At 35.5% G+C, this 10149-nt stretch overlaps 1 pseudogene; it reads right to left on the bottom strand.

Annotated features, from left to right (window-relative positions):
• Positions 6695 to 7003, bottom strand: RPS26P56 (ribosomal protein S26 pseudogene 56; annotated as a pseudogene).

Below are 10149 nucleotides of genomic sequence, written 5' to 3'. Positions count from 1 at the left end.
TTAGTATCATATTATTTAACAATTAATATGTTTTTAATAAATTGATATCTAGTAGGTTGAATCTTCCCTCATTCTCTTCAAAATTTTCTTGGCTGTTCTTGGCCTGATACTCTTCCATATCACTTTTAGAATTAGCTTGTCAAGGTCAGTGGGAAATACACTGTTGGGATTTTGGTTGGAATATAATTGAATAATAATTTTCTCTATTATAATTCTACGCATACTTGGTTAACTTTTTTTTCTAAGAATCTTACAGGTTTTGTTGCTGTTGTGAATGATATTTAAAAATGTATTATATATTTTCTAATTGATTATTGCTGGTATATATAATTTTGTATGTTGATTTGATGTCCAGCAGCATTGCTGAAATCTCTTATTAGTGCCAATAGTTTGTTGTGAAAATGGCAATTTTCTTTCTTTTTTTTTACAATATTCTCTTTCATTTATTCATTTATTTTTATTTTTTGTTTTATTGTTCTGACAAGTGCCTCCAGTATATATTGAATAGAAATAGTGATGAAGATACTTGATTTGTTTTCTGATTCTAAAGGGTATGATTCTAATATTTCACCATTAGCTATGATATTTGTTGCAGATTTTTGTTAGCTACCTTTTGTCAAGTCAAGGAAGTTCCTTTCATTCTGAGTCGGCTAAGATGTGTTTTTTAAAAAATCATATGAATGAGTGTTGAATTTTATCAAATGCTTTGTCTACATCTAGCGAAATTTGGTGTATTTTCTCCCTTGGACACTTAATTTTGTGAATTACATGGATTTTCTAATGTTAAACTAATCTTATATTTCTGGGATAAATACTACCTGGTCATAATGTTTTAAAAATTATAATATATTGCTAAGTTTGGTTTGCTAATGTTGGATTTAGGATTTTACATTAATGATCATATGTTGGATTCTCCAGTTTTTGTCCTCTTTTTACACTGTTCTTTTCGAGTTTTGGTATCAAGGCATACTAGATTCACAAAATAATTTGGAAATTCTAACTTCTTTTTCTTCTGGAGCATTTTATATAAAATCTGGATTATATATTTTTGAACATTTGGTTAAACTTGCTTCTAAAACGATATGGGCCTTTGACAGCTATGTTTAATTCATTTTCTTTTGTTGTGATTACTGATATATTTGGACATTATTGTTTTTTTAATAACAGATTTATTGAGGCATAATTTGCATACTATACAATTCCTACTTTTAACATGTAAAATTCAATAGCTCTTGTTATATTCACAGTGTTTTGCAAACATCACTACAATCCAATTTTAAAACACGTTCATCATCCCATAAAGAAACTTCATACACATTAACAGTCACTTCCAATTCCCCCCTCTCCCAACCCATGGCAATCACTTATCTACTTTTTGTCTCTATGAATTTGCCCGTTCTGGACTCATCACAGAAATGGAATCATAAAATATGTGGGCTTTTATATCTGGCTTCTTTTGCTTAGCATAATGTTTTCAAGGTTCATTCATATTGTAGCAAGAATCAGCACTTCATTCCTTTTTTTTCTCTCAGTCAGCTTATAGGCAACTTCATTCCTTTTTATGGCTGAATGATATTCCGTTGTATAGACATAGTGCCATTTGTTAGTCCATTTATCTGTTGATAGACATTTGGGTTGTTTTTACTCTTTGGTTATTGTGAATAACACTGTTATGAACATTCACATACAAGGTTTTGTGTTTTCAGTTCTCTTGGGCATATACATAGGGGTGGAATTGCTGGGTCATATTGTAACTGTGTGTTTTACTATTTTAGGAACTGCCAACGATGATTCTTATTATGAATCAAGTTTTCTCTATTTTTATTTTTACCCTTTACTCATTTGGAAGTCATACATTTTATTTCTGATCTTCTAGTAACTTAAAAAGATTTAAATCAGTATGTGACCCCTTAAATGTTTATAGATAAATGTTACAACGAAGTCTAACATCAATCACTCTGTATTTTTCTAAACAATGCAAGAAAACAAATACTCGTCATCACCCCTTCTTCCATCTTGTTGTCTAGTGTATTAACTTTGTTATTAAATCATCCTCAACTATCACTATTGTTTATTTTTATACTCAGTGCTTTTTAAATTTGTAAACGTGTTTTTCAGTTTCGATGCTCACCATTGTTTGTTTTGTCCTATACTTTTATTCTGAAATTATTATTTTTTCCTTTCTGAAGTAGATATTTTTGTTGCCTTTCAGCAAGGGTCTTTGAAAGGAAACTGCTTTTAGTCTTGTTTGTCTGAAAATGCATTTTGTTCACTCTCACTTCTTAATGATTGTTTAGCTAAGCATAGGCTTCAGGGTAGAAGATATTTTTCCTCATCACTTTGAAGCTATCATTCCATTTTATTTGAGCCTCCATTGTCAATCTAATAGTCATTCTCTTGTAGAATTGTTTTGTTTTGTTTTATCTTTGGTATTCTGCATAATGAGATACCAAAAAGCCAATGATTGGCACTTAGGATAGAAGAGTTCATTACTTTGAAGCTAAATACCAAACTGCTTCCTGAATATTCAGCTAGTGAAAAAAAAATCTGGTTTGTGGTGATTGGGGAAGTTAATTTAAACTTCACATGGGGCTGGGTATTAAAGAAAAGACATCTTTATGGCATGTACACAATTCAGCAACTGATGTATACTCATTTCTTGAGCTACAATACAGTGTCAAGTGTGTCAAGTGAATTTTGTTGCAAAGAGAATACACCACCGGAGAGATAAAAGGAAGGTCAAAAAAAAAAAAGAGACATAAAGGAAAGAGTATTATGTTTCACATTTTAAAAACATGGAAGGGAGAAGCCATTTTGAGCACTTGCTGTGTTGTGCAACAATATGCTGTACATTTTTAATAGCAAAGGAGAGATCGACATGAAATTTCTTTATATAAAAACCAATGGTTTACACATTATATAAGGCATCTTTGAATACAAGGCAGAGCAAAAACTAGGACAATGCTACTTTTCTTTCTTTGGTTAAATGAGGCTTAGTTGTTGGCATCACACAGGTTTTATAAAAGCACAATTCTTGAAAAGGAGTTCTACATTTATAAGGCATAAGAGAAAGGACAAATGGAGTTTAATTTACATTGTCTCAGCAACAATGTTATGTCCCAGTTGCTAGTTAGTCCCCACGAGGCTTGGGGAATGGCTTCATATTCCTATAGGAGCTAAGAAGAAATGGAGTGATTTCATTCCAGTGAGATGTCAAGATGAGCAAAAGAATTTCAAAACGGAAGAAGTTAATTTATTTGGAAAATATTTTACTTTTTATTGGTGTCATTTGAATTTGGGGTCCTATGCTAACATTTTCAGAATTGTAAAATGAAGAGTTCTATTAATGGGGCGTGTCATCCTCGAGGGGACCTTAGTGAACATGCAAGCCAATCCCTGCATTTTGTAAAAGGGGAAAAACAGAGAAAGTTGGTGACTTGCCCAATGTCAGTGTCAGTGAGTTAGAAGAGAGTTGGGACAAAAATGTAGGTCCTTTAACTCCTAGTCCGGTGTTATTTCTGATATCTCATACAAGTTAAAACTCAACGGGTTGTTGTATTTTTTAAAAAGCTGTATCAGTTTCCTTGAGCTGCCATACCAAATATCACAAACTGGGTGGCTTAAAACAATGGAAATTAATTGTCTCATGCTTCTGGAGAGTAGAAGTCTGAAGTAAACGATTCAGTAGAGCCACGCTACGTCTGAGACTCTAGGTAGAACACTTCTTTGCCTCTCCTTAGCTTCTGGTGGTGACCAGTTCTTGGTGTTTCTTGGCTTGCAGCTGCATCACTCGTCTCTGCTGCCATTCTCACATGGCAGTCTCTTTGTGTGTCTTTGTTCAGATTTCCCTCTTCCTATGAGAACACCAGTCATATTGGATTAGGGATCAACCTAATGACTTCATCTTAACTTAGTTACATCTGCAAAGACCCTATTTCCAAATAAGTTCACATTCATAGGTACCAGGGTTTAGGATTTCAACATATCTTTTTGGGAGACATAATTCAACTCACAAGAATGGCTTTATTGAAATATACTGTACCACATACCATATCAGTTCACCCATTAAAGTATACAACTTATGGTTTTTAGTATGTGCACAGGTTTGTACAACCATCATTACAAGATAATTTTTAAAAATTGTCATTCCCCTTAAAAGAAACTCCATACTCATCAGTAGTCACTCTATATTTTCCCCCTTCCTGCTCTATCCCTAAGCAACCACTAATCTACTTTATGTCTCTGTATATACGCCCACTCTGGACATTACATATAAATGGAATCATGTGATATGTGGTTCTTCGTGACTATTCTTTCACTTATAAAAATGTTTTCAAGGTTGATCCATGTTAGCATGTTTTAGTACCCTCTTTTATTCTTTTTTATGGTTGAATAATATTCCATTGTGTAGATATACTGTACTTTGTCTATCCAGTTGATGGACATTTGAGTTGTTTCCACTTTGGGGTAATTATGGATAATGCTACTATGAACATTGGTCTGTAACTTTTGTGTGGACATACGTTTTCAGTTCTCTTGGGTATATTGCCAGGGATTGAATTGCCAGGTCACATAGAAACTTTGTATTTTACTGTTTGAGGAACTGCCAGATAGTTTTTCATAGTGACGGTACCATTTTACATTCCCACAGAAATGTATGAATGTTCCAATTTCTCATATCATCCCAACATTTTGTTACTGTTCACCTTTTTTTTTTTTTTTTTTTTTTTTTTTTTTTTTACGTTACAGCTGTCAGACTGGGTGTAAAGTAGTATCTCATTGTGGTTTTGATTTACATTCCCTTAATGGCAAATGGTATCGAGCACCTTTTCATGTGCTTAGTGGCTATTTGTGTATCTCCTTCAGAGAAATGTCTATTCAGATCTTTGACCATATTTTTAATTGAGTTATTTGCTTTTTATTGTTGAGTTATAAGAATTCTTTGTACAGTCCAGATACAAGTCCCTTATCAAATATGTGACTGGCAAATATTTTTTCCCATTCTGTTGGTTCTCTTTTCACTTTTATCTTCATGTCCTTTGAAGCATAAAAGTTTTAAAATTTGATGAAGTACTAATTATCTATTTTTTCTTTTTTTGCTCATGCTTTTCATGTCATATCTAAGAACCCTTTGCCAAATCCAAGTTCATGAAGATTTATCTCTATGTTTCCTTCTAAGAATATTACAATTCGGCTCTTACATTTATGTCTTTGATCCATTTTGAGTTAAGTTTTGTGTAGGATGTGAGGCTTGGGTCCAACTTTATTCTTTTGCATGTGGTTATCCGGTTGTCTCTGCACCATTTATTGAAAAGAACATTTTTCTCCATTCAATGGTCTTGGCATCCTTGTAGAAAATCAGCTAGTCCTAGATGTATGGTTTTACTTCTGGACTCATAATTCTATTCCATTGATATAGGTGTCTGTCCTATGCCAATACTGATATTGTCCTATCATTGCTTTTCAGTAAGTTTTGAAATCAGAAAACATGAGTCTTCCTGTCTTCCTGCTTTGCTCTTCTTTGTCAAGATTGTTTTGGTTATTCTGGGAGCCTTGCAATTTCATATAAATTTTAGAATTAGCTTGTCAATTTGTACAAGGAATTCAGCTGGGATTTGGAGAGAGATTATGTTGAATCTATACATCAATTTGGGCAGTATGCCATCTTAACAATATCAAGTCTTCTACTCCATGAACACAGAATGTTTTTGCATTTATTTAGATATTTAATTTCTTTCAACAATGCTTTCTTTGTAGTGTTTAGAGTAAAGTTTTGCACTTCTTTTAAACTTTGTTCCTAAGTATTCTTTTTGATGCTATTATACATGAAATAGTTTTCTTAATTTCGTTTTTGGATTGTTCATTGCAAGTGTATAGAAATACAATTGATTTTTGTAAATTTAACTTGTATCCTACAACCTTGATTTATTAGTGCTAATAGGTTTTTAGTGAATTCCTTACAATTTTCTATATACATGATCATTTTTTATGTGAATAGAAACAGCTTTACTTCCTTCTCTCCAGTCTGGTTGCCTTTTATTTCTTTTTCTTGCCTGATTGCTTGAGGTAGAAACCAGAGTACAATGTTGAATAGAAGTGAAAGTGGGCATGCTTGTCTGTTCCTGACCTGTGAGAGAAAGTTTTCATTCTTTCACCATAAGTATAATGTTCTCTGGGGGCTTTGAAGCTCTTCCTCAACTAGTCTCAACTGATCTATCCAACTTCTTTCCCACCGACAATCTTTGAATGCTCATTGTCCAACTCCCAAACCCTAGCCTGGCTCACAAAGGCCCACTAGCCTAATAGCATGATTTATTTCCTTTTCATCACATACCTTGATTTTTTCCTCTGCACCTATTCCTCATAATGTTAAAGAGAATGCCCCATTTCCTCCAACAGTCTAGCTCATATGCTTCCTTAGGGTAAAGCTCTGTTTCCCAGATGACTACACCACTGTCGCCCCAACAGACACAAGTGGTCACACTAAACATGTGAATACACATACACAACATATTGTGATTCCTTGACTTCCCATTTCCTGAATACTTGAAGCTAATTTATATTTTGTTTCAGTTCATATCACTTTGTAAATGTCCTTTTGTTATTTTATATATCTTTGTCTTGGTTTCACCAATTACACTGTGTTTCTCTAGAGCAAGGACCAGGAAACCTGTGTTTTTTTTTTTTTTTTTTTTTAAGTAGAATTTCCATTTTATTTTTCTCCAGAGAATAGTCTGTCTCCAGTCTTTAAGAACTTAGCTCCTTACAAGGGCTTTGGTGGGGGAAGTGGAGCAGCACCCGCAGGTCTAAATAGGGGTGGGGGTGTTCAGTCCTTGTGGGCTTCACGAGATCGATTCCTGACTACTTTGCTGTGAATTGTACAACTCACACAGTAATGTAGCTTCACATAAAGCTTGGGAAGCACGTAGGCATCAAAGACTCTCGCTTCAGAAATGTCCCTGACTGCTGTGGCCTCCACTATGTTTCGAATGACGAATTTCTTTTTTTTTAAATTTATTATTATTATACTTTAAGTTTTAGGGTACATGTGCACAATGTGCAGGTTAGTTACATATGTATACATGTGCCATGCTGGTGCGCTGCACCCACTAACTCATCATCTAGCATTAGGTATATCTCCCGATGCTATCCCTCCCCCATCCCCCCACCCCACAACAGTCCCCAGAGTGTGATGTTCCCCTTCCTGTGTCCATGTGTTCTCATTGTTCACTTCCCACCTATGAGTGAGAATATGTGGTGTTTGGTTTTTTGTTCTTGCGATAGTTTACTGAGAATGATGATTCCCAATTTCATCCACGTCCCTACAAAGGACATGAACTCATCATTTTTTATGGCTGCATAGTATTCCATGGTGTCTATGTGCCACATTTTCTTAATCCAGTCTATCATTGTTGGACATTTGGGTTGGTTCCAAGTCTTTGCTATCGTGAATAATGCCGCAATAAACATATGTGTGCATGTGTCTTTATAGCAGCATGATTTATAGTCCTTCGGGTATATACCCAGTAATGGGATGGCTGGGTCAAATGGTATTTCTAGTTCTGGATCCCTGAGGAATCGCCACACTGACTTCCACAATGGTTGAACTAGTTCACAGTCCCACCAACAGTGTAAAAGTGTTCCTATTTCTCCACATCCTCTTCAGCACCTGTTGTTTCCTGACTTTTTAACGATTGCCATTCTAACTGGTGTGAGATGGTATCTCACTGTGGTTTTGATTTGCATTTCTCTGATGGCCAGTGATGGTGAGCATTTTTTCATGTGTTTTTTGGCTGCATAAATGTCTTCTTTTGAGAAGTGTCTGTTCATGTCCTTCACCCACTTTTTGATGGGGTTGTTTGGTTTTTTCTTGTAAATTTGTTTGAGTTCATTGTAGATTCTTGATATTAGCCCTTTGTCAGATGAGTAGGTTGCGAAAATTTTCTCCCATTTTGTAAGTTGCCTGTTCACTCTGATGGTAGTTTCTTTTGCTGTGCAGAAGCTCTTTAGTTGAATTAGATCCCATTTGTCAATTTTGGCTTTTGTTGCCATTGCTTTTGGTGTTTTAGACATGAAGTCCTTGCCCATGCCTATGTCCTGAATGGTAATGCCTAGGTTTTCTTCTAGGGTTTTTATGGTTTTAGGTCTAACGTTTAAGTCTTTAATCCATCTTGAATTGATTTTTGTATAAGGTGTAAGGAAGGGATCCAGTTTCAGCTTTCTACATATGGCTAGCCAGTTTTCCCAGCACCATTTATTAAATAGGGAATCCTTTCCCCATTGCTTGTTTTTCTCAGGTTTGTCAAAGATCAGAGAGTTGTAGATATGTGGCATTATTTCTGAGGGCTCTGTTCTGTTCCATTGATCTATATCTCTGTTTTGGTACCAGTACCATGCTCTTTTGGTTACTGTAACCTTGTAGTATAGTTTGAAGTCAGGTAGTGTGATGCCTCCAGCTTTGTTCTTTTGGCTTAGGATTGACTTGGTGATGCGGGCTCTTTTTTGGTTCCATATGAACTTTAAAGTAGTTTTTTCCAATTCTGTGAAGAAAGTCATTGGTAGCTTGATGGGGATGGCATTGAATCTGTAAATTACCTTTGGCAGTATGGCCATTTTCATGACATTGATTCTTCCTACCCATGAGCATGGAATGTTCTTCCATTTGTTTGTGTCCTCTTTTATTTCATTGAGCAGTGGTTTGTAGTTCTCCTTGAAGAGGTCCTTCACATCCCTTGTAAGTTGGATTCCTAGGTATTTTATTCTCTTTGAAGCAATTGTGAATGGGAGTTCACTCATGATTTGGCTCTCTGTTTGTCTGTTGTTGGTGTATAAGAATGCTTGTGATTTTTGTACATTGATTTTGTATCCTGAGACTTTGCTGAAGTTGCTTATCAGCTTAAGGAGATTTTGGGCTGAGACAATGGGGTTTTCTAGATATACAATCATGTCATCTGCAAACAGGGACAATTTGACTTCCTCTTATCCTAGTTGAATACCCTTTATTTCCTTCTCCTGCCTAATTGCCCTGGCCAGAACTTCCAACACTATGTTGAAAGGAGTGGTGAGAGAGGGCATCCCTGTCTTGTGCCAGTTTTCAAAGGGAATGCTTCCAGTTTTTGCCCATTCAGTATGATCTTGGCTGTGGGTTTGTCATAGATAGCTTTTATTATTTTCAGATACATCCCATCAATACCTAATTTCTTGAGAGTTTTTATCATGAAGGTTGTTGAATTTTGTCAAAGGCCTTTTCTGCATCTATTGAGGTAATCGTGTGGTTTTTGTCTTTGGTTCTGTTTATATGCTGGATTACATTTATTGATTTGCATATATTGAACCAGCCTTGCATCCCAGGGATGAAGCCCACTTGATCATGGTGGATAAGCTTTTTGATGTGCTGCTGGATTCGGTTTGCCAGTATTTTATTGAGGATTTTGGCATCAATGTTCAAGGATATTGGTCTAAAATTCTCTTTTTTGGTTGTGTCTCTGCCCAGCTTTGGTATCAGGATGATGCTGGCCTCATAAAATGAGTTGGGGAGGATTCCCTCTTTTTCTATTGATTGGAATAGTTTCAGAAGGAATGGTACCAGTTCCTCCTTGTACCTCTGGTAGAATTCGGCTGTGAATCCATCTGGTCCTGGACTCTTTTTCATTGGTAAGCTATTGATTAGTGCCACAACTTCAGCTCCTGTTATTGGTCTATTCAGAGATTCAACTTCTTCCTGGTTTAGTCTTGGGAGAGTGTATGTGTGGAGGAATTTATCCATTTCTTCTAGATTTTCTAGTTTATTTGCGTAGAGGTGTTTGTAGTATTCTCTGATGGTAGTTTGTCTTTCTGTGGGATAGGTGGTGATATCCCCTTTATCATTTTTTATTGCGTCTATTTGATTCTTCTCTCTTTTTTTCTTTTTAATCTTGCTAGCAGTCTATCAATTTTGTTGGTCCTTTCAAAAAACCAGCTTCTGGATTCATTAATTTTTGACTACTGGGTACATAATGAAATGAAGGCAGAAATAAAGATGTTCTTTGAAACCAATGAGAACAAAGACACTACATACCAGAATCTCTGGGACGCATTCAAAGCAGTGTGTAGAGGGAAATTTATAGCACTAAATGCCCACAAGAGAAAGCAGGAAAGATCCAAAATTGA

This window comes from Homo sapiens, chromosome X (genome assembly GCF_000001405.40).
Source record: "Homo sapiens chromosome X, GRCh38.p14 Primary Assembly".
NCBI classification, from domain to species: Eukaryota; Metazoa; Chordata; class Mammalia; order Primates; family Hominidae; genus Homo; species Homo sapiens.
The sequence above is the reverse complement of the archived record's forward strand: the minus strand, read 5'-3'. Positions and strand labels throughout refer to the sequence as shown.